Source organism: Homo sapiens, chromosome 6 (genome assembly GCF_000001405.40).
Source record: "Homo sapiens chromosome 6, GRCh38.p14 Primary Assembly".
Lineage (NCBI taxonomy): Eukaryota > Metazoa > Chordata > Mammalia > Primates > Hominidae > Homo > Homo sapiens.
The window spans coordinates 31,796,388-31,819,202 of NC_000006.12; the positions used below are offsets into that span (position 1 = coordinate 31,796,388).

At 49.7% G+C, this 22,815-nt stretch overlaps 3 protein-coding genes across 3 annotated transcripts, besides 8 other annotated features; 1 reads left to right on the forward strand and 2 right to left on the reverse strand.

Moving 5' to 3' along the window:
* LSM2 (LSM2 homolog, U6 small nuclear RNA and mRNA degradation associated) lies at nucleotides 1,009–10,579 on the reverse strand. Its single transcript, NM_021177.5, has 5 exons — nucleotides 10,368–10,579; nucleotides 9,688–9,755; nucleotides 2,090–2,120; nucleotides 1,603–1,662; nucleotides 1,009–1,495 (listed from the first exon to the last, which is right to left on the reverse strand). Exons 1-5 carry the CDS (start codon nucleotides 10,368–10,370, stop codon nucleotides 1,370–1,372), a joined length of 288 nt encoding a protein of 95 aa, NP_067000.1. The 5' UTR covers nucleotides 10,371–10,579; the 3' UTR covers nucleotides 1,009–1,369.
* HSPA1L (heat shock protein family A (Hsp70) member 1 like) lies at nucleotides 13,232–18,896 on the reverse strand. Its single transcript, NM_005527.4, has 2 exons — nucleotides 18,502–18,896; nucleotides 13,232–15,598 (listed from the first exon to the last, which is right to left on the reverse strand). The coding sequence occupies exon 2, from the start codon at nucleotides 15,583–15,585 to the stop codon at nucleotides 13,660–13,662; it is 1,926 nt and encodes a 641-aa protein (NP_005518.3). The 5' UTR covers nucleotides 15,586–15,598; nucleotides 18,502–18,896; the 3' UTR covers nucleotides 13,232–13,659.
* Nucleotides 18,259–19,088: an enhancer, noted in NCBI's record as "H3K27ac hESC enhancer chr6:31782423-31783252 (GRCh37/hg19 assembly coordinates)". NCBI's record gives its function as "activates a minimal SCP1, AML or CMV promoter by ChIP-STARR-seq in naive H9 embryonic stem cells {active_cell/tissue: H9 hESC(naive)}" and the evidence as "EXISTENCE:reporter gene assay evidence [ECO:0000049][PMID:30033119]".
* Nucleotides 18,863–19,082: an origin of replication, noted in NCBI's record as "HS-AB fragment; allows replication of a plasmid". NCBI's record gives the evidence for it as "EXISTENCE:genetic transformation evidence [ECO:0005027][PMID:8065368]".
* Nucleotides 18,863–19,520: a biological region, named in NCBI's record as "origin of replication in promoter of HSPA1A".
* Nucleotides 18,922–18,928: a protein binding site, noted in NCBI's record as "HSP-MYC A". NCBI's record gives its function as "may be important in replication origin activity" and the evidence as "EXISTENCE:protein binding evidence [ECO:0000024][PMID:1562593]".
* Nucleotides 18,992–19,520: an origin of replication, noted in NCBI's record as "C amplicon; peak of nascent strand synthesis detected by PCR of labelled, size-fractionated DNA". NCBI's record gives the evidence for it as "EXISTENCE:fractionation evidence [ECO:0000100][PMID:8065368]".
* Nucleotides 18,997–19,003: a protein binding site, noted in NCBI's record as "HSP-MYC B". NCBI's record gives its function as "may be important in replication origin activity" and the evidence as "EXISTENCE:protein binding evidence [ECO:0000024][PMID:1562593]".
* Nucleotides 19,156–21,555, forward strand: HSPA1A (heat shock protein family A (Hsp70) member 1A). Its single transcript, NM_005345.6, has one exon. The coding sequence runs from the start codon at nucleotides 19,370–19,372 to the stop codon at nucleotides 21,293–21,295; it is 1,926 nt and encodes a 641-aa protein (NP_005336.3). The 5' UTR covers nucleotides 19,156–19,369; the 3' UTR covers nucleotides 21,296–21,555.
* Nucleotides 19,795–20,364: an enhancer, noted in NCBI's record as "H3K27ac-H3K4me1 hESC enhancer chr6:31783959-31784528 (GRCh37/hg19 assembly coordinates)". NCBI's record gives its function as "activates a minimal SCP1, AML or CMV promoter by ChIP-STARR-seq in primed H9 embryonic stem cells {active_cell/tissue: H9 hESC(primed)}" and the evidence as "EXISTENCE:reporter gene assay evidence [ECO:0000049][PMID:30033119]".
* Nucleotides 20,365–20,934: an enhancer, noted in NCBI's record as "H3K27ac-H3K4me1 hESC enhancer chr6:31784529-31785098 (GRCh37/hg19 assembly coordinates)". NCBI's record gives its function as "activates a minimal SCP1, AML or CMV promoter by ChIP-STARR-seq in primed H9 embryonic stem cells {active_cell/tissue: H9 hESC(primed)}" and the evidence as "EXISTENCE:reporter gene assay evidence [ECO:0000049][PMID:30033119]".

The window sequence follows — 22,815 nt, forward strand, 5'->3', positions numbered from 1 at the left end:
CTCTACTAAAAATACAAAAATTAGCCAGGTGTGGTGGCAGGCGCCTGTAATCCCAGCTACCCCGGAGCCTGAGGCAGGGAATTGCTTGAACCCTGGAGGTTGAGGTTGCAGTGAACTGAGATCGTGCCACTGCACTCCAGCCTGGCGACAGAGCTGCAGTATTTGTAAAAATACAAAAATTAGCCAGGCGTGGTGGCACACACCTGTAAGCCCAGCTACTTGGGAAGCTGAGGCAAGAAGATCACTTGAACCTGGGAGGCGGAGATTGCAGAGCTAAGATCACACCACTGCAGTCCAGCCTGGGTGACAAAGTGAGACTCCATCTCAAAAAAAAAAAAAAAAAAAAAAAATTAGCCGGGCATGGTGGTGGGCATCTGTAATCCCAGCTACTCAGGAGCTGTGGCAGGAGAATCGCTTGAACCGGGAGGCGGAGGTTGCAGTGAGCCAGACCAAGCCAGTGCACTCCACCCTGGGCAACAGAGTGAGACTCCCGTCTCAAAAACAAAAAGGAGGGTCACACTAGATGGTCTCTAAGGGTCCCTTAAGGCTGAGAAGTCTCATCTGTATCATGAACTCATATTTGCTGAATGAGTGAATGAAGTTTAGTAATTCCCAGTCACAACTTTTCTCTAAAATATAAATTACATCACTTGTATTTATCTTCTATACATATTCAGAAAACATGAACTGATTTGGTTGGATTGGTGAAGTCTGGTAGCATGAAATGTATCTTATGACACTATCACATTAATGGAAGGACAGCAAGCACTCCAGTTGCAGGTATGGTATAAGCAAAAGGCCACAGGGAGAACATACAGGTAGGGACATGTTGGGGAAACATGGTGTAGAGCAACTGTATTATATGCTTTATACCAAGGAGAGTAGTGGGAAGCTGAGTTGGATTCTTGGCTGGGTTAACGCAGAGTAACAGGGGCTTGGATGAATTCGACATCCTTTTCCATGTCCCAGCCCCCTGCCCAACACATAGTAACAGAACCAAAACACAAATTTGCATCATAAATTTTATTCCCGATGCGGGACAGATTCCTTCCATCCCCAAATGAATCACATGCTGCCCTGGAAAGACCTAGGAAACTCTCCTACCATCTCCAGAGAAGTAGTGAGAAAGGCAGGTGCTGGGGACTGGGAAGGCTTTGAAGTTTCCCAGCCTACTTATCCTCCCCTTCTCAAGAGAGGATAGCTGTTCCCTATTACTCCTCTCATCCACTCATCCCTTAAAAAAAACCCACAAAACCATCATTAGTAAAAAAACAAAACCCCTTCAAGTATTGGGGGTTAGGGGTTCTGGGCTGGGACTTGGGGTTATGGGTCACCAATGAAAGAGGGAGGGGAAGAGGAGGAGGAGCCATCACTGTTTCTGCTGCAGGGCTTCCTTCCTTGCCGCATCCTGTAGCAACTGTGTGTCGACCTCATCTGCTGGCAGCTGCACGTATCGGACCACTGAGCCCCGAATGAAGCAGTTCTTCACTGATAACTAGACAAAGATGGACAAATATGAAAACACCCTTAAAAATGTCCTCTAACCACCCAGGGGCCTCCTGCTTTAGAGGTGTTTCCTCTTCTCCACAGACCCCAACTCACCATGTGAGGGTATTTCTCAGGGTCTGTGACACTGATGTCAGTTAGTTTGATGTTGAGATACTAGGAAAGGAAGATGAACACCATTATTATTATTATTTTTTTTTTTTTGAGACAAGAGTTTTGCTCTTGTTGCCCAGGCTGGAGTGCAATGGTGCCATCTCGGCTCACTGCAATCTCCGCCTCCTGGGTTCAAATGATTTTCCTGCCTCAGCCTCTCGACTAGCTGGGATTACAGGTGCCCACCACCACGCCCAGCTAATTTTTTGTATTTTTAGTAGAGACGGGGTTTCACCATGTTTGTCAGGCTTGTCTTGAACTCCTGACCTCAGGCCTCGGCCTCTCAAAGTGCTGGGATTACAGGCGTGAGCCACCGTGCCTGGCCGACGAACACCATTATTAACCCTAGAGACATGATGTAAGAACCCAACCCTTAAGTCTCCCCTCTCCTTCTCCAGGAACCAATTCTGGGGCCCGTGCTATATCTCACCTGATCCACAGAATGGAGGGTTCCACAGATGCTGTCAAGGGCAGAGGGAGAGAAGAATCAAATTAGTTTATAACAAAGTCAACATAGAGGTGACTTCAGAGCTGGGATGAGAACATGACTGGGAGAAGTCAAGGACTTGAGGATGTCAGAAAAGGTAGAACCAAAAGGGGGCATTCCTAAGCCCTGGAGTAGGAAAGACAACTAACAGAGTAGTTTATTTTCAACCCCACATCTCCTCTCCCTAAACCAATCCATTCTTTTTTTTTTTTTTTTTTTTTTTGAGATGGAGTCTCACTGTCAGCCAGGCTGAAGTGCAGTGGTGTGATCTTGGCTCACTGCAACCTCTGCCTCCCAGGTTCAAGCGATTCTCCTGCCTCAGTCTCCTGAGTAGCTAGGACTTCAGGCGCATGCCATCATGCCCGGCTAATTTTTTATTTTTAGTAGAGATGGGGTTTCACCATGTTGGCCAGGCTGTTCCTTAACTCCTGATCTCAGGCGATCTGCCCACTTCAGCTCCCCAAAGTGCTGGGATTACAGGTGTGAACCACTGTCCCCGGCCAAACCAACCTATTCTTAACAGCTACCATTAAACAACTGGTAAAGGCTAGACCTGTATTCTATATAGTATTTGTAATCTTTACAGCCATCTTTCAAAGTAGTTATTACCTTCCAGGGGCTCAGAGAGGTTGTTTTAAACTTTATGAGTTTAGAACAAATGGGAACTTCAGTCCAAGTCTGTGTGACTCCCAAAACCATCAGCTATTTTTTTTTTATTTTTGCGACAGGGTCTCACTCTATGGCCAAGGCTGGAGTGAAATGGCGTGATCATGGCTCACTGTGGCCACTTGAGTAGCTGTGATTACAGGCTTGAGCCACCATGCCCAGCTGATTTTTTTTTGAGATGGAGTCTCGCTCTGTCGGCCAGTCTGGAGTGCAGTGGCACAATCTCGGCTCACTGAAAGCTCCATCTCCCAGGTTCACGCCATTCTCCTGCCTCAGCCTCCCGAGTAGCTGGGACTACAGATGCCGGCCACCACTCCTGGCTAATTTTTTGTATTTTTAGTAGAGACGGGGTTTCACCGTGTTAGCCAGGATGGTCTCGATCTCCTGACCTCATGATCTGCCCACCTCAGCCTCCCAAAGTGCTGGGATTACAGGCATGAGCCACCATTCCCGACTTTTTTTTTTTTTTTTTGTAGAGAAAGGGTCTCACTGTGAATGTCACCCAGGCTAGCTATTTTCAAACATTTATTGCTTTGGAACCAGAGCCCATATGTGGATAAAGGTAGGTAGCATTACTCTTGATGATGCAGGCATGAGTGATGTCCTCTCCATTCCCCAATCCTCGAGCCCCTTGAAATGCTATTTGAGGAATGCTATCAAAACACCAGTGCTCTTTGAGAGAATGGTGCAAAAATTTAAAAAAACAGCCTTTGGCTGGGAATGGTTGTTCACGCCTATAATCCAAGCATTCTGGGAGGCTGAGGCAGGAGGATCGCCTGAAGCCAGCTGGAGAACAGCCCAGACAACATAGCAAGACCTCATCTCTATTTTAAAGTTATAAAATAAAATAACTGTGGCCGGGCACGGTGGCTCACGCCTATAATTCCAGCACTTAGGGAGGACGAGGCGGGCGAATCACGAGGTCAGGAGTTCGACACCAGCCTGGCCAACATCGTGAAACCCCATCTCTACTAAAAATACAAAAAATTAGCTGGGCATAGTGGCAGACGCCTGTAATCCCAGCTACTCGGGAGGCTGAAGCAGGAGAATCACTTGAACCCGGGAGGTGGAGGTTGTAGTGAGGCGAGATCGAGCCACTGCACTCCAGCCTGGGTGACAGAGTGAGACTCCATCTCAAGAAAAATAAATAAATAAAAATAATCGTAATAAATAGCAGTTTTAAAAACGTCCTTATCTTGCCAAAAATAAAGTTGGCAGTTCTCTGCCCCAATTTTTGTAAAATTCTGAAAGTCTTTAAAACCCAGCGTCTAGGCCATGTGCGGTGGCTCATGCCTATAATCCCAGAACTTTAGGAGGCCAAGGTGGGCGGATCACTTGAGGCCAGGACTTCAAGACCAGCCTGGCCAACACGGCGAATCCCCATCTCTACTAAAAATACAAAAATTGGCCGGGCGTGGTGGCTCACGCCTATAATCTCAGCACTTTGGGAGGCCGAGGCGGGTGGATCACGAGGTCAGGAGATCGAGACCATCCTGGCTAACACGGTGAAACCCCGTCTCTACTAAAAATACAAAAAATTAGCCGGGCATGGTGGCGGGCACCTGTAGTCCCAGCTACTTGGGAGGCTGAGGTAGAAAAATGGCGTGAACTGGGAGGCAGAGCTTGCAGTGAGCGGAGATCACACCACTACACTCCAGCCTGGGTGACAAAGCAAGACTCCGTCTCAAAAAAAAAAAAATACAAAAATTAGCTGGGCATTGTGGTGTGCACCTGTAATCCCAGCTACTCAGGAGGTGAGGCACGAGAATCACTTGAACCCAGGAGGAAAAAAAAAATTTAAAAATAAAATATAAAAATACAAAAATTAGCTGTGTGTGGTGCATGCCTGTAGTCCCAGGTATACAGGAGGCTGAGGCACGAGAATCATTTGAACACAGGAGGTAGAGGTTGCAGTGAGCCAAGATCATGCCACTGCATTCCAGCCTCGGTGACAGAGTAAGGATCTGTCTCAAAAAAAAAAAAAAAAAAAAAAGACCCACTTAAATATGCTCTAGGAAATTAATTTAAATGAACTAGTACTAGGCAATCATTATTTTTTTTGAGACAGAGGGTGAGTCTCTGCCTAATAACAAAAACAAAAACAAACACCCAGTATCTGAAACCCACTGCCTCAGTAATGTTCTCACCATATTGCTAGCTGCTGAAAAACATTTGACAGCACCCCACCATCTCCAGCAGTGAAATAACATTTGGGAATTGTACAAAGTGGTGTCATTTTATTAAGTCCCTTAAGGAGGGGGAGATACATAGCACAAAAGTGGTCTGACAACAAACATAAGAGAAAGAACTTTTGGCCAGGCGTGGTGGCTCACACCTGTGATCCCAGCACTTTGGGAGGCTGAGGCAGGAGGATCACTTGAGGTCAGGAGTTTGAGGCCAGCCTGGCCAACATGGTGAAACCCCATCCCTACTAAAAATACAAAAAATTAGCTGGGAGTGGTGGCATGCACCGGTAATCCCAGCTATTCGGGAGGCTGAGGTGGAAGAATCACTTGAACCCAGGAGGCAGAGGTTGCAGTGAGCCAAGATCGCGCCACCGCACTCCAGCCAGGGCAACAGAGTGAGACCCTGTCTCAAGGAAAAAAAAGGAGAAAGATCTTCTTTCTCATCCCAACAGAAAAGTCACTTTAAAGCCACACACATATTGGCTCACACCTGTAGTCACTGCACTTTGAGAGGCTGAGGTGGGAGGATCACTTGAGTCCAGGAGTTCAAGACCAGCCTGGGCAACACGGCCGAGACTCTGTCTCTATGAAAAATTTTAAAAATAATATAAAAAGGCCGGGTGCAGTGGCTCACGTCTGTAATCCCAGCACTTTGGGAGGCCGAGGCAGGTGGATCACGAGGTCAGGAGTTCAAGACCAGCCTGACGAAGATGGTGAAACCCGATGTCTACTAAAAATACAAAAATTAGCCAGGTATGGTGGCAGGCACTTGTAATCCCAGCTACTTGGGAGACTGAGGCAGGAGAATCACTTGAACCCAGGCAGCAGAGGTTGCAGTGACCCGAGATCATGCCACTGCACTCCAACCTGGGTGACAGAGTGAGACCCCATCTCAAACAAAAATAAATAAATAAATAGAAAAAAAAGAAGGCTGGGCGCAGTGGCTCACACCTGTAATCACAGTACTTTGGGAGGCCGAGGTGGGCAGATCACAAGGTCAGGAGATTGAGACCATCCTGGCCAACGTGGTGAAACCCCTTCTCTACTAAAAATACAAAAATTAGCTGGGCGTGGTGGTGCATGCATATAATCCCAGCTACTCGGGAGGCTGAGGCAGGATAATCACTTGAACCAGGGAGTCGGAGGTTACAGCACCACTGCACTCCAGCCTGGCGTAGACTCGACCAGAGCGAGACTCGTCTCAATAAAAAAAAGAAAAAAGAAAAAGAAAAGAAATGTTACTACGGCCGGGTGCAGTGGCTCACACTTGTAATCCCAGTACTTTGGGAGGCTGGGGTGGGCAGATCACGAGGTCAGGAGTTGGGAGACCAGCCTGGCCAACATGGTGAAACCCTGTCTCTACTGAAGATACAAAAAATGAGCCAGGCGTTGTGGCGCATGCCTGTAATCCCAGCTACCAGGGAGGCTGAGGCAGGAGAATCACTTGAACCCGGGAGGCAGAGGTTGCGGTGAGCCGAGATCACGCCATTGCACTCCAGCCTGGGCGACAGGGCAAGACTCTGTCTCAAAAACAAAATAAAATAAAAAAAATAAAGGTACTTTAGGGCCTAGGGTTATAACACAACAGTTAGGCTTCCCATGTAAAAGGCCCAGGAAGGAGAAAAGAGGAGAATCAAAAACAAGTCATCACACCAAATTGCCTAAGACTGATAGTGATTACCGTACTTGTCTTGCTCTGTGGCCCCAATCTATACACATCAATATCACTTGCATTGCCAGTGCTACAAATGGAAACCTGTGTTCTAAAACGCAAAGGCCCTTAAGTCCCTCTCCTCACCATTCCCTGCCCTGTCAACGTGTAACCCATGAAAAAATTATCTCACATAGAAATGTGGAAGACAGCCAGACACAGTGGCACACACCTGTAATTCCAGCACTTTGGGAGGCCAAGGTGGCAGGACTGCTTGAGCCCAAGAGTTTCAGACTAGCCTCGGCAACACAGTGAGACTCTGCCTCTCCAAATAATTAAAAAATTAGCTGGGCATGGTGGCATATAGCCCCAGCTATTCAGGAGGCTGAGTGAGCTATGGTGGTGCCACTGCACTACAGCCTGGACAACAGAGTGAGACCCCCATCTCAAAAAAATAAATGTGGAAGACGCTTTTGGGAAGAGAATACAATTGATCCCATCTTTCTAAAGGATAATGAGGTAACAGGTATCAATATTTTAAATGTACTTTTTTTTTTTTTTTGAGATGGAGTCTCAGTCTGTCGCCCAGGCTGGAGTGCAGTGGCCTGATCTCAGCTCACTACAACGTCCGCCTCCCGGGTTCATGTGATTCTCCAGCCTCAGGCTCCTGAGCAGCTAGGATTACAGGCGCACAACACAACATCTGGCTAATTTTTGTATTTTTAGTAGAGATGGAGTTTCACCATGTTGGCCAAGCTAGTCTCAAACTCGTGACCTCAGGCATCCACCCGCCTCGACTTCCCAAAGTGCTGGGATTACAGGTATGAGCCACCGCATCTGGCCTAAATGTACATATTATTTAAAGGACTGTACAGATAAGTACAGGGCCAGGTGTGCTGGCTCATGCGCGTAACCCCAGCACTTTGGGAAGCTGAAGCAAGAGGACTGCTTGAACTCAAAGAATTTGAAACCAGCCTGAGCAACAAAGTGAGGCACTGTCTCTAATTTTTAAATAAATAAATATTATTTTAAGAAAGAAAGTAGGACTAGGCGCAGTGGCTCACGCCTGTAATCCCAACACTTTGAGAGGCTGAGGCAGGTGGATCACAAGGTCGAGAGTTCAAGACCAGCCTGGCCTAGATGGTGAAACTCCATCTCTACTAAAAATACAAAATTTAGCCGGGCATGGTGGTGGGCACTTGTAATCACAGCTACTAGGGAGGCTGAGGCAGAGAATTGCTTGAACCCAGGAGGCAGAGGCTGCAGTGAGCCGAGATTACGCCATTGCAGTCCAGCCTAGGTGACAGACTGAAACTCCATCTCAAAAAAAAAAAAAAAGAAAGAAAAAAAGCTGGACAGAATCATATTTCAGTTGTGTCACTTACTAGTTTTGTAGACTTGAACAAGTGGTATAGCTGATCTAAGCCTCAGTTTCCTCGTGTAAAACAGCAATAGTATATATTACTTAGCAGTGTTTGAGAAATCAATCAATAAATGTATTCAGAATAGTGGTTAGTCAATACGTCTTCGGATATTATTTTTCTTTCTTTAAGCACCTATCATATAACTGGCCTATGCTAGGTATTAGATACACTACATGGTTTCACCATGTTGGCCAGGCTGTTCTCGCTCTCTTGACCTCGTGATCCACCCGCCTCAGCCTCCCAAAGTGCTGGGATTACAGGCATGAGCCATCGTGCCCGGCCTATGGCCTGTTCTTTTTTTTCTTTTTTTTTTTTTTTTTTTTTGAGACGGAGTCTTGCTCTGTCACCCAGGCTGGAGTGCGGTGGCACCATCTTGGCTCACTGCAAGTTCCGCCTCCCAGGTTCACGCCATTCTCCTGCCTCAGACTCCCAAGTAGCTGGAACTACAGGAGCATGCCACCACGCCTGGCTAATTTTTTGTATTTTTAGCAGAGACAGGGTTTCACCATGTTAAACAGGATGATCTCAATCTCCTGACCTTGTGATCCGCCTGCCTCGGCCTCCCAAAGTGCTGGGATTACAGGCGTGAGCCACCGCGCCCGGCCTGGCCTGTTCTTTTTTTGAGACAGAGTCTTCCTCTGTCAACCAGGCTGGAGTAAAGTGATACAATCATGGCTCACTGCAGCCTTGACCTCCTGGGTTCAAGTGATCCTCCCACCTCAGCCTCCCGAATAGCTGAGACTACAGGCATGTACACTACACCTGGCTAATTTTTTATAGAAATAGAGGTCTCATCACTATGTTGCCCAGACTAGTCTCGACATCCTGGACTCAAGTGATCCTCCTGCCTCAGCCTCCCAAAGTGCTGAGATTACAGGTGTGAGCCACCATGGCCAGCCTAGTACTTACTTTTTTTTTTTTTTGAGACAGAATCTCACTCTGTCACCCAGCTGGAGTGCAGCAGTGTGATCTCAGCTCACTGCAACCTCTGCCGCCCAGGTTCAAGCGATTCTCCTGCCTCACCCTCCCGAGTAGCTGGGATTACAGGCACCAGCCACCGTGCCCGGCTAATTTTTGTATTTTTAGTAGAGACAGGGTTTCACCATCTTGACCGGGCTGGTCTTGAACTCCTGACCTCGTGATTCGCCCACCTTGGCCTCCCAAAGTGCTGGGATTACAGGCATGAGCCACACGTCCAGCCCGTGAGCCACTGCGCCTGACCTGTATTTACTCTTTAAACTATATATTGCTTTGTATTGTTTTCCAATACACGATACAATCTCTAAGCTTATCTGTAAATTTAAGGCACAAGGCATTTATTTATTGCTAAATTTTAAAATTTTTCTTAGAGATGGGGTCTTGCTCTATTGCCTGGGCTAGAGTGCAATGGAGTAATCACTGCTCACTGCAGCCTCAAACTCCTGGGCTCAAGCTTTCCTCCTTCCTCAGCCTCCCAAAGTGCTGGGATTACAGGCTTGAGCCACTGCACCCTATCCATTTATTTCTTCTGTACATCTTCCACCTCGCCTAGCCCTGAAATATTTCTCAAATTAAAGAGGTTCCAGGGCCCTGGGCACACCCACCCCCAACAGACTTGTTGGAACAGGTACCTACCTCAGGTCATTCTTTAGTTCCACGACCACATCCTTGCCCACAAGGGACTTGAAAAAAGAATAGAAGAGCTATTGGGAGAGAGGGGGAAAACCATCATGTGGGAAGGAGCATGGTAGGGAGGAGTGTCCTTTGACAGTATTACCAAATACTGGTATTGTGAACCCCACTGCATCCCTGACAGTTCTCAAAATTTCACAGGAAAGAATAATTGGTTGACAGAGCTGAAAGGCTGGAGCCCAAATTATTCTGCACACTGCACTGAGCCCATCACTTAAAGTCCCAGAGAGACTCTGCCCTGCATACGTCGGCCTCCCCACTGTGCTCTCTCAGTCGACCACCTTTCTCGGGTACCTGCCCACTCCTTTCAATGAATTGTAGAAAATATCCCACCCGCACCCTGCCGAAGCTTGCCTGGCAGAGAAGTGCTCTGAGGTCTAACTTTTCCGTCTCCCGCTATCCTCACTGAATCTCTCTCAGGGTTGGGGTTTTTTCCCTCATCATGGAAAAAATATCCCATTTGTTCTCAGTGCCTCCTCAATGAACCTGAGAAACAGTACAGTACTAAAGATGAAGATAAAAACTCCGGACCTAACTCCAGCCTAGGGGTACAAAGGCCAGATCCCCCGCCCCAACCATGCGAGGTCCCCGAGGGCGCCCCCTTTTGACGTCACGGTACCCACCATGGTGCTGGCGCCGCGGGCAGCGGGCCGGACCGGGAAGACAGCAGGGTGCTGCGAGCAGGTCTGGGGAAACCGAAGCGCGAGCCCGCGCGTGGGGCGAGGCGGGACCGCGCAGGCGCAGCGGGAAGCGACGCAGAAAGCTCCAAGCGCTGACGGGCAAAGCGCGGCCGACTTGCGGCTGGGGAGCGCAAGCTGGGTAGAGTAGAGGGGAGGAGGAAGCCGGGAAAGGGGCGGGGTTTCCTTCATTCCGACTTCCTCCCTGGCCGGCCGGCTCCCATTGCGCAGGCGCGGACCCTAGCCTGGGCTGCCAGACGGGTGGCGGGACTCAGCGCCTGAGCTCAAAGGATTTTGTTCTTTTCCAGAATCCTGCCATCTACAGCGTGATGTGTTTGTGCCCTACACACACTTCCTATCGAGAATTGTGGGGAGTTTGTTAAGATTATGAAGTGTGCACTTTTCTATATTTGTTAAAGTAAAAACATAAAATTTAAAAAATAAAATTAAAAAATGTTTTGAATCTTAAATTCAGCTGATAAAAAGAAAAAAAGGCCGAGGGCCGTGGCTCAAGCCTTTAATCCCAGCACTCTGGGAGGCCTAGGTGGGTGGATTGTGTGAGGTCAGGAGTTCGAGACCAGTCTAGCCAACATGGTGAAACCCCATCTTCACTAAAAATACAAAAAAAATTAGGCGTGGTCGCAGGCTCCTGTAATACCAGCTACTCGGGAGGCTGAGGGAAGAGAATCGCTTGAACCTGGGAGGCGGAGGTTGCAGTGAACCGAGATCGCGCCACTGCACTGCAGCCTGGGCGACAGAGCAAGACTCCGTCTCAAAAAAAAAAAAAAAAAAAATGACCGGGAGCAGTGGCTCACACCTGTAATCCCAGCACTTTGGGCGGCCAAGGCAAGTGGATCGCCTGAGGTCAGGAGTTCGAGACCAGCCTGGTCAACATGGCGAAATTCTGTCTCTACTAAAAACCCAAAAATTAGCCGGGTGTGGTGGCACGCGCCTGTAAATCCAGGAGGCATAGGTTGCAGTGAGTGGAGATCTTGCCATTGCACTCCAGCCTGGGCAACAAGAGCAAAACTCCATCCCAAAAAACAAAAAATGTTGAGGCCTGTAAATCCCAGCATTTGGGGAGGCTGAGGCAGGAGGATCATTTGAACCCAAGAGTTACAGTGAGCTACAATCTCCCCACTGCATTCCAGCCTGGGTGACAGAGCGAGACTCTCTCTAGAAAAAAGAAAATTATAAACAAACAACGTTGAGCAGTCCCAGAGATAAGGAGGAGCTGGAGCACAAATTTTGATTTTATCAAAGGTTACCAATAAATACATTTCTCCAAAGGAGCCAACCTCAATCTCCGCATTTCTTACACACTTTTGCCAAGACTGTCCTGTAAAGGACTGTGTAAAACTAAAGAGACTGTGGCTCACAGATACAAATAACCCAGTCTAACATTTCACTGTTAAATGTTTCAAACACAAACAGACAGAAATGCAGTTACATATTATTCTAACTCATATCCCCCAGGTTTTTATAAATATGTATTAGGACACAGGTAAAAGAAAAAAATGTTTTTGAGATGGAGTCTCGCTCTATCACCAGGCTGGAGTGTGGTGCCACGATCTCAGCTCACTGCAACCTCCACGTCCCGGGTTCAAGCGATTCCTCTGCCTCACCCTCCTGAGTAGCTGGGACTACAGGCACGCATCACCGTCCTCAGCTAATTTTTGTATTTTTAGTAGAGACGGGGTTTCACCATGTTGGGCAGGATGGTCTCAATCTCTTGACCTCATGATCCGCCCGCCTCGGCCTCCCAAAGTGCTGGGATTACAGGCGTGAGCCACTGTGCCCAGCTGGTAAAAATATTTTTTCATGGACTGAGACTTCATAAAACTTGTATTTGTCATCTTGCATAGACATACTTATTTGTCAAGAGTTTGTTATAGAAATATTTTCTGGGGCTGGGCACGGTGGCTCACGCCTATAATTCCAGCACTTTGGGAGGCTGAGGTGGGTGGATCACCTGAGGTCAGGAGTTCAGAACAGCCTGGTCAACATGGTGAAATCCCGTCTCTACTAAAAACACAAACATTAGCCGGGCATGGTGGTGAGCGCCTGTAATCCCAGCTACTCATGAGGCTGAGGCAGGAGAATCGCTTGAATCTGGGAGGCAAAGTTTGCAGTGAGCCGAGATCGTGCCATTGCACTCCAGCTTGGGCGACAAGAGCGAAACTGTTTCCAAAAAAAAAAAAAAAGAAAAGAAATATTTTCTCCATGTAATGGATGTAAACAATGAACTCTGTGAGTGCATAGATGCTGAATCTCCTGGACCTTACCTATAAGTGACATCAGGACATCAAGCAGGATTTGTCCCTCCACCCCCAGTTGAGTCCTAAACTCCAAAACCAGCTTGTAACTGATTAAAAGCAGTTATAGTTTGCCATCTGTTCCATCTGTGCTAAAGGTGTCTGAGGATCAAAAATTATGTGGCTGATTGAAACAATGAGTTCATGGGCCGGGCACGGTGGCTCACGCCTGTAATCCCAGCACTTTGGGAGGCCGAGGCGGGCGGATCACGAGGTCAGGAGATCGAGACCATCCTGGCTAACACAGTGAAACCCCGTCTCTACTAAAACAATACAAAAAATTAGCCGGGCATGGTGGGGGGCACCTGCAGTCCCAGCTACTCGGGAGGCTGAGGCAGGAGAATGGCGTGAACCCAGGAGGCAGAGCTTGCAGTAAGCTGAGATTGTGCCACTGCACTCCAGCCTGGGTGACAGGGCGAGACTGTCTCTCAAAACACACACACACACACACACACACACACACACACACACAAAATGAGTTCATGAAAATTCAAATACTTTACCCTTACCAATTTAATCATTCACAGTGACCTCACAATCAGAGAACACATGCTCTCTCCATGAACTCTCCCCTTCAAGGTACATTCACAGCCTAAATACCAGAAGTAATTTTCTTTACGAACAAATTTACTGATTGACAAATAAGCATCCACACAGGAAGAAGAATGTTAGGGTGGCTGGAAATAACAGACATTCAAATACATCACACGGTTTAAAGAGGGGCCTAGTTTTCCTGAGTCCATTCCAAAGTCAGAAACAGGATGTGAGGGAGTGTGATAGGTGGTGCATGAGACTCCTTCTCCAGAATTTCCAAGGGATGGTAACTTAGATTCAGGTCTGGTCAAGAATAATAATGATGTTTGAAGATGAGGGGAATGAAATACATGTAGAGGCATCCTAGGATGCTTCAGTTCTAAAAAGAATTAATCTACTTCTTCAATTGTGGGGCCTGTGGCAGGCCTTCCAGGCACATACCCTGTTCCGCAGGCAGGCCCAGTGCATCCTCCTTGGTAGAGTTTTGTGATGATAGGGTTACACATCTGCTCCAATTCCTTTCTCTTATGATCAAACTCATCTTTCTCTGCCAGTTGATTGACCTCCAGCCACGAAAGGAGCTCGTTGCATTTATCCAATATTTTATTTTTATCAGACTCACTAATCTTGCCCTTCAAACCTTCATCACTCACAACACTCTTCATGTTAAAAGCATAGGATTCTAAGGCATTCTTTGCAGCAATTTTCTCCCTCTGGACCTCATCTTCAGCTTTATATTTCTCAGCATCCAGAACCATGCGCTCAATCTCCTCCTTGCTCAGGCGGCCCTTGTCATTGGTGATGGTGATCTTGTTCACCTTGCCGGTGCTCTTGTCCGTGGCTGTGACATTGAGAATACCATTGGCATCAATGTCAAACGTCACCTCGATCTGAGGAACTCCCCTGGGTGCTGGAGGGATTCCAGTCAGGTCAAACCGCCCCAGCAGGTTGTTGTCCTTTGTCATGGCCCTCTCGCCCTCATACACCTGGATCAGCACCCCGGGTTGGTTGTCAGAGTAGGTGGTGAAAATCTGTGTCTGCTTGGTGGGGATGGTGGAGTTGCGCTTTATCAGGGCAGTCATCACGCCCCCAGCCGTCTCCAGCCCCAGGGACAGGGGAGCCACGTCCAGCAGCAGCAGGTCCTGTACCTTCTCAGACTTGTCCCCCATCAGGATGGCTGCTTGTACCGCAGCCCCATATGCTACGGCCTCATCAGGGTTGATGCTCTTGTTGAGATCACGTCCATTGAAGTAGTCCTGAAGCAGCCGCTGCACCTTGGGGATGCGGGTGGAGCCCCCTACTAAAACAATGTCATGGATTTTAGCCTTATCCATCTTGGCATCCCGAAGCGCTTTTTCTACAGGCTCCAGGGTACCCCTAAACAGGTCTGCACACAACTCTTCAAATCGAGCTCTGGTGATGGATGTATAGAAGTCAATGCCTTCATAAAGTGAATCAATTTCTAGGTTGGCCTGGGTGCTGGACGACAGGGTCCTCTTGGCCCTCTCGCAGGCGGTGCGCAGCCGCCTCACGGCTCGCTTGTTCTGGCTGATGTCCTTTTTGTGTTTCCTCTTGAACTCCTCCACGAAGTGGCTCACAAGCCTGTTGTCAAAGTCCTCCCCACCCAGGTGAGTGTCCCCAGCAGTGGCCTTTACCTCAAAAATCCCATCATCTATGGTCAGAATTGACACATCAAATGTGCCTCCACCCAGATCAAAAATCAGGACATGTCGTTCTCCTTGACCTCCTTTATCTAAACCATAGGCAATGGCAGCAGCCGTGGGCTCATTGATGATTCTTAGCACATTAAGTCCAGCAATCACACCTGCATCCTTAGTAGCCTGACGTTGAGAGTCATTGAAATAGGCTGGCACGGTAATCACTGCATTGGTGACAGGGTGGCCCAAAAAGGCCTCAGCAGTCTCCTTCAACTTAGTCAATACCATCGAAGAGATTTCCTCAGGGTAGAAAGCTTTATTCTCCCCTTTGTAGGACACAAGGACTTTGGGCTTGCCTCCTTCATTAATCACTTGAAAAGGCCAAAGTTTCATATCTGCTTGTACAACAGGATCATTAAATTTCCTGCCGATCAGACGTTTAGCATCAAAAACAGTGTTCTGGGGATTCATTGCTACCTGGTTCTTGGCCGCATCCCCAATGAGCCGCTCGGTGTCTGTGAAGGCCACGTAGCTGGGGGTGGTGCGGTTGCCCTGGTCGTTGGCGATGATCTCCACCTTGCCGTGCTGGAACACCCCCACACAGGAGTAGGTGGTGCCCAGGTCGATGCCTATGGCGATTCCCTTGGCAGTAGCCATGGTTCTCTGAGGCCTATGGAGAAAGAATAAGATACTGTTTTGGGAGAGTGCTTTTCAATGTTATTTATTTTTTTGAGACAGGGTCTTCCTCTGTCACCCAGGTTGGAGTGCAGAGGCGCAGTCATAGCTCACTGCAGCTTTGATCTCCTAGGCTCCAGCAATCTTCCTGCCTTAGCCTCCAGAATAACTGGAGACAACATGCCCGGCTAATTTTTTTTTTTTTTGAGACGGAGTCTTGCTTTGGACTGCAGTGGTGTGATCTAGGCTCACTGCAACCTCCACCTCCTGAGTTCAAGCGATTCTCCTGTCTCAGCCTCCCGAGTGGCTGGGATTATGAGGGCACCACCACGCCCAGCTAATTTTTGTATTTTTAGTAGAGATGGGGTTTCACGGTTTCACTATGTTGGCCAGGCTGGTCTCAAACTCCTGACCTCAGGTGATCCGCCCGCCTCGGCCTCCCAAAGTGCTGGGATTACATACGTGAGCCACCGTGACCAGCTCTCTGCCTGGCTAATGTTTTAATTTTGTGTACAGATGGGGTCTCCTTATGTTGCTCAGGCTGGTCTCAAACTCCTTCAGGGCTCAAACGATCCTTCAGCCCCAGCCTCCCCAAGTACTGGGATTACAGGAGTGAACATCTCGCCCAGCCTATTTTTTATTTTTTATTGTGGTAAAATACATACAAATTGTACCATCTTAACCATTTTTAAGTGTAGAGTTTGGTAGTGAGTTCAATCACAGCGGTGTTCAACCAATTTCCAGAATTCTGTTCATCTCGCAAAACTGAAACTGTATACTCATTAAGTAACTCCCGTTTTCCCCTCCCTTTATCGCCTGGTAACAACCATTTTTTTTTCTCATTTTTTAGAGACAGGGTCTCGTTTTGTCACGCAGGCTGCACTGCAGTGGTGTAATCATGGCTCACTGCAGTCTTGACCTCCCAGGCTCATAGGATCCTTTTGTCTCAGCCTCCCAAGTAGCTTGGACCACAGGTGAATGCCACCACACCCAGCTAATTTTTTATTTTTTTGTAGAGACCAGGTCTCCCTGTTGCCCAAGCTAGTTTCTCACTCCTGAGCTCAAGGAAACCTCCTCCCACCTCCAAGTCACCAAGTGTTAGGATTATAGGCTTGAGCCAAGGCGCCCGACCTCTTTTTTCTATCTCTATGAATTTGACTACTCTTGTAACTTCATATAAGTGGAATTATACAGTATTTATCCTTTTGTGACTTTGCTTATGTCACTTAGCTTATGTGCACAGGTTTCATCCATGTTGTAACATGTCACAATTTCCTTCCTAAGGCTGAGTAATATTCATATTTATATACCACTGTTTTTGATTTTGTTTTGAGACAGAGTCTCACTCTGTTACCCAGGCTGGAGTGCAGTGGCATGATCTTGGCTCACTGCAACCTCCACCTCCTGGGTTCAAGCTAATTCTCCAGCCTCAGCCTCCCGAGGAGCTGGGACTACAGGCGTGCACTGCCACGCCCAGATAATTTTTGTATTTTTAGTAAAAACAGAGTTTCACCATGTTGACCAGGATGGTCTCAAACTCCTAACCTTAAGTGATCCGCCCGCCTCGGTCTCCCTAAGTTCTGGGATGGCAGGCATGAGCCACCACCGCACCCGGCCTATATACATTTTGCTTATCTATCTCTCGATGGATACAGATTACAGAATTTACAGAATAATGTTGCTATGAGCAAGCCTATACAAATACATGGAGACGCTACTGTCATGGCAGACTGCTTTTTGGACAGGGTAGACAAAAGTATTCTCAGCTACTCAAAGAAGTTGGGAAGCAAGTAGCTGTATATTGTTTTCAATTTCCCAAGTGACCTAATTCTACTGTCCTGTTCCTATATATTTTACTGTGGGATTCTGTCTCTTTATGACCCAAGAGTAGTGTACATTCTGGTCTCTTCAAGAGACATCAGCCTCCACACTTGAGTTCTGCTGCCTTCCTGGGATAATATTCTCTATTAGGGGTTCACCGGCAGTAAATTCCAGTCAGGCTGAAGATGACTGCTAGAAAACCACAAGCCTTCCAGTTTTCTCAAACGACATGGCACTCCAGACAGTATCTGTATCCTTCTCCTAAATAAAACTCCTGTTTTCTGGAGCCAATAACTGATCAATAAAGGGTTTAAGGGCGGGGGGCGGTGGCTCACGCCTGTAATCCCAGCACTTTGAGAGGCCGAGGCGGGCGGATCACGGGGTCAGGAGAACGAGACCATCCTGGCTACCATCCTGGCTAACACGGTGAAACCTCGTCTCTACTAAAAAATAGAAAAAATTAGCTGGGCGTGGTGGCGGGCGCCAGTAGTTCCAGCTACTCGGATGGCTGAGGCAGGAGAATAGCTTGAACCCGGGAGGTGGAGCAATTAGCCGGGCGCGGTGGCGGGCGCCTGCAGTCCCTGCTACTCGGAAGGCTGAGGCAGGAGAATGGCCTGAACTCGGGAGGCAGAGCTTGCAGTGAGCCAAGATCGTGCCACTGCACTCCACCCTGGGCGACAGAGCGAGACTCCGTCTCAAAAAAAAAAAAAAAATTAAAAATAAATAAATAAAAATAAAATAAAGGGTTTAGTGTCTATCCCTCTCCACACCGCAGATTCCTAGGCCGCACTCCCTTTCCCCCGCTTCCCAGTTACCCCGCCTCCCCCTTACCCCGCCTTCCCCGCCTCCCCATTTCCCCGACAGGCCGCACTCCCTTCCCCCGCCTCCCCCATTCTGGCTGCTCCGACCAATCAATCTGAAGCCATCTTAGCTTTCCCCAAGTGCTCCTCCTACCCGGATCAGCCAACGCCCACATACCTCAGGCTTAAACCAACTAGGGAACTTTCCAGTACTTTCCCAAACAAGGACCTACTGAGCCTTTCAGGTTCACAATCAATCAGATCCCTACTGGCTCACCTAGTCTCCCGACGCCTTCGCTTCAGTTTGGAAACGTCCAGATTACGCAGCCCCAGCGAGTAGGTGGGGGCTCCCTCAATATCAAACTGCACAACCGGGGTCCCCCCACCCCCCACCCCGTCCCTCCCTGCAAATTTGAGACGGCTCCAACTCAGTAATCTTTTTCCAAACTGGCCCATGAGGTCAGAGACAGTATCTCCATTGTAACGTGGCCGGGCGGTGTCAACACAAACGCCCCCACCCTCCCCTGGACGCGCGTAACCCGCTCCCCGCACCAGCCCCCTGCCCACAACTGCGCAGGCCCAGCAAGCCCCCACAATTAAAAGCCCAGCGCCGACCCTTCCTGTCAATTAGGCGCTGAAGCGCAGGCGGTCAGCATCGCCATGGAGACCAACACCCTTCCCACCGCCACTCCCCCTTCCTCTCAGGGTCCCTGTCCCCTCCAGTGAATCCCAGAAGACTCTGGAGAGTTCTGAGCAGGGGGCGGCACTCTGGCCTCTGATTGGTCCAAGGAAGGCTGGGGGGCAGGACGGGAGGCGAAAACCCTGGAATATTCCCGACCTGGCAGCCTCATCGAGCTCGGTGATTGGCTCAGAAGGGAAAAGGCGGGTCTCCGTGACGACTTATAAAAGCCCAGGGGCAAGCGGTCCGGATAACGGCTAGCCTGAGGAGCTGCTGCGACAGTCCACTACCTTTTTCGAGAGTGACTCCCGTTGTCCCAAGGCTTCCCAGAGCGAACCTGTGCGGCTGCAGGCACCGGCGCGTCGAGTTTCCGGCGTCCGGAAGGACCGAGCTCTTCTCGCGGATCCAGTGTTCCGTTTCCAGCCCCCAATCTCAGAGCGGAGCCGACAGAGAGCAGGGAACCGGCATGGCCAAAGCCGCGGCGATCGGCATCGACCTGGGCACCACCTACTCCTGCGTGGGGGTGTTCCAACACGGCAAGGTGGAGATCATCGCCAACGACCAGGGCAACCGCACCACCCCCAGCTACGTGGCCTTCACGGACACCGAGCGGCTCATCGGGGATGCGGCCAAGAACCAGGTGGCGCTGAACCCGCAGAACACCGTGTTTGACGCGAAGCGGCTGATTGGCCGCAAGTTCGGCGACCCGGTGGTGCAGTCGGACATGAAGCACTGGCCTTTCCAGGTGATCAACGACGGAGACAAGCCCAAGGTGCAGGTGAGCTACAAGGGGGAGACCAAGGCATTCTACCCCGAGGAGATCTCGTCCATGGTGCTGACCAAGATGAAGGAGATCGCCGAGGCGTACCTGGGCTACCCGGTGACCAACGCGGTGATCACCGTGCCGGCCTACTTCAACGACTCGCAGCGCCAGGCCACCAAGGATGCGGGTGTGATCGCGGGGCTCAACGTGCTGCGGATCATCAACGAGCCCACGGCCGCCGCCATCGCCTACGGCCTGGACAGAACGGGCAAGGGGGAGCGCAACGTGCTCATCTTTGACCTGGGCGGGGGCACCTTCGACGTGTCCATCCTGACGATCGACGACGGCATCTTCGAGGTGAAGGCCACGGCCGGGGACACCCACCTGGGTGGGGAGGACTTTGACAACAGGCTGGTGAACCACTTCGTGGAGGAGTTCAAGAGAAAACACAAGAAGGACATCAGCCAGAACAAGCGAGCCGTGAGGCGGCTGCGCACCGCCTGCGAGAGGGCCAAGAGGACCCTGTCGTCCAGCACCCAGGCCAGCCTGGAGATCGACTCCCTGTTTGAGGGCATCGACTTCTACACGTCCATCACCAGGGCGAGGTTCGAGGAGCTGTGCTCCGACCTGTTCCGAAGCACCCTGGAGCCCGTGGAGAAGGCTCTGCGCGACGCCAAGCTGGACAAGGCCCAGATTCACGACCTGGTCCTGGTCGGGGGCTCCACCCGCATCCCCAAGGTGCAGAAGCTGCTGCAGGACTTCTTCAACGGGCGCGACCTGAACAAGAGCATCAACCCCGACGAGGCTGTGGCCTACGGGGCGGCGGTGCAGGCGGCCATCCTGATGGGGGACAAGTCCGAGAACGTGCAGGACCTGCTGCTGCTGGACGTGGCTCCCCTGTCGCTGGGGCTGGAGACGGCCGGAGGCGTGATGACTGCCCTGATCAAGCGCAACTCCACCATCCCCACCAAGCAGACGCAGATCTTCACCACCTACTCCGACAACCAACCCGGGGTGCTGATCCAGGTGTACGAGGGCGAGAGGGCCATGACGAAAGACAACAATCTGTTGGGGCGCTTCGAGCTGAGCGGCATCCCTCCGGCCCCCAGGGGCGTGCCCCAGATCGAGGTGACCTTCGACATCGATGCCAACGGCATCCTGAACGTCACGGCCACGGACAAGAGCACCGGCAAGGCCAACAAGATCACCATCACCAACGACAAGGGCCGCCTGAGCAAGGAGGAGATCGAGCGCATGGTGCAGGAGGCGGAGAAGTACAAAGCGGAGGACGAGGTGCAGCGCGAGAGGGTGTCAGCCAAGAACGCCCTGGAGTCCTACGCCTTCAACATGAAGAGCGCCGTGGAGGATGAGGGGCTCAAGGGCAAGATCAGCGAGGCGGACAAGAAGAAGGTGCTGGACAAGTGTCAAGAGGTCATCTCGTGGCTGGACGCCAACACCTTGGCCGAGAAGGACGAGTTTGAGCACAAGAGGAAGGAGCTGGAGCAGGTGTGTAACCCCATCATCAGCGGACTGTACCAGGGTGCCGGTGGTCCCGGGCCTGGGGGCTTCGGGGCTCAGGGTCCCAAGGGAGGGTCTGGGTCAGGCCCCACCATTGAGGAGGTAGATTAGGGGCCTTTCCAAGATTGCTGTTTTTGTTTTGGAGCTTCAAGACTTTGCATTTCCTAGTATTTCTGTTTGTCAGTTCTCAATTTCCTGTGTTTGCAATGTTGAAATTTTTTGGTGAAGTACTGAACTTGCTTTTTTTCCGGTTTCTACATGCAGAGATGAATTTATACTGCCATCTTACGACTATTTCTTCTTTTTAATACACTTAACTCAGGCCATTTTTTAAGTTGGTTACTTCAAAGTAAATAAACTTTAAAATTCAAGTGATGCCTTTTATTCCTTTATTTGGGGGTCAGTAGGGTCTGCATAGGTTGTTTTTCCCATAGCGTCTAAAATGGAATGGCATTTTTGCTTCCAGTAAGGGCAGATTTTGCAGAGGTGTGACTATTGTAATGTGATCCATTTGTGTTAGACAAATGGTATCCTCCAGTAAAGCTTCTTGATTCTGGCCAGGAGTGGTGGCTCAAGCCTGTAATCCCAGCACTTTGGGAGGCTGAGGTGGGCGGATCACTTGAGGTCAGGAGTTCCAGACCAACCTGGCCAATGTGGTGAAACCCTGTCTCTACTAAAAACACAAAAATTAGCTGGGCGTGGTGGTGCGTGCCTGTAGTCCCAGGGAGGCTGAGGCAGGAGAATCGTGTGAACCCAGGAAGCAGTGGTAGCAGTGAGCCGAGATCACGCCATTGCACTCTAGCCTGGGCATCACAGCAAGACTCCGTCTCACACACACACACAAAAAAGTAAAGTTTGTTGATGCTGATTGGGTTTAGCCTGAGGGTACAGAAAAAGTTTAACACCTGGGAGGGTAGCCTTAAAGTGATGTTTGTGTAAGATTGGTCTCAAAAGAGGTGGGAGGGGGGCGGGGATGTTTCTGCAAAAGTGGTCAAAAAGAATGCAGTTAGATGGGAGGCCAGCGCTCCTACCTCCTGTAGGTACACCTGATATGCTCATGGACTTGATACTTAATCTAGATTCAACATGGAATGGAAGGAGTGTCCTAAATTTCAAAGTGAAAAAACGGGTACATTCACTGGCTTGCTGAGTTATACACATGTGCTTTAGTTGTCATCTTTTAAAATGGAAGGGTTTGGCTCGATGCCTCTCTCATGACTGAAAGCATACTGAAATAGAAATGTCACATTCTTAGCAGTTATCACCTACAATTTAAGTACGCCAGTGAGCACCCGGGCCAGGAAGACCTACAGACTTCACTCCCATGCACTTTCCCTTGGAGATGCTTCATGCCCCAGCCGCTAGCATCCTAGAAGTAATTCCCTCCTCCTTGGAAAACGCCCACTACAATCCTTAAAGCTCCCGGAGTGAGCCCTTTTAAAAATGAATTGTATCTGGCCGGGCGTGCTGGCTCATGCCTGTAATCCCAGCACTTTGGGAGGCTGAGGCAGGCGGATCACCTGAGGTCAGGAGTTCGAGACCAGCCTGGCCAACATGGTGAGGACCCCCCCCACCACCCACCTCCTGCACTAAAAGTACAAAAATCAGCCAGGCGCGATGGTGTGCGCCTG

Bases quoted from the DNA above. Each gene is read 5' to 3' on its own strand.
- LSM2 (NM_021177.5), bottom strand. The intron at 2,121-9,687 runs GTAGGTACCTGT...TGCCCTTGACAG, and splicing joins GAACTAAAGAATGACCTGAG to CATCTGTGGAACCCTCCATT. The intron at 1,663-2,089 runs GTGAGATATAGC...TTCCTTTCCTAG, and splicing joins CCCTCCATTCTGTGGATCAG to TATCTCAACATCAAACTAAC.
- HSPA1L (NM_005527.4), bottom strand. From the start codon at position 15,585: ATGGCTACTGCCAAGGGAATCGCCATAGGCATCGACCTGGGCACCACC.
- HSPA1A (NM_005345.6), top strand. From the start codon at position 19,370: ATGGCCAAAGCCGCGGCGATCGGCATCGACCTGGGCACCACCTACTCC.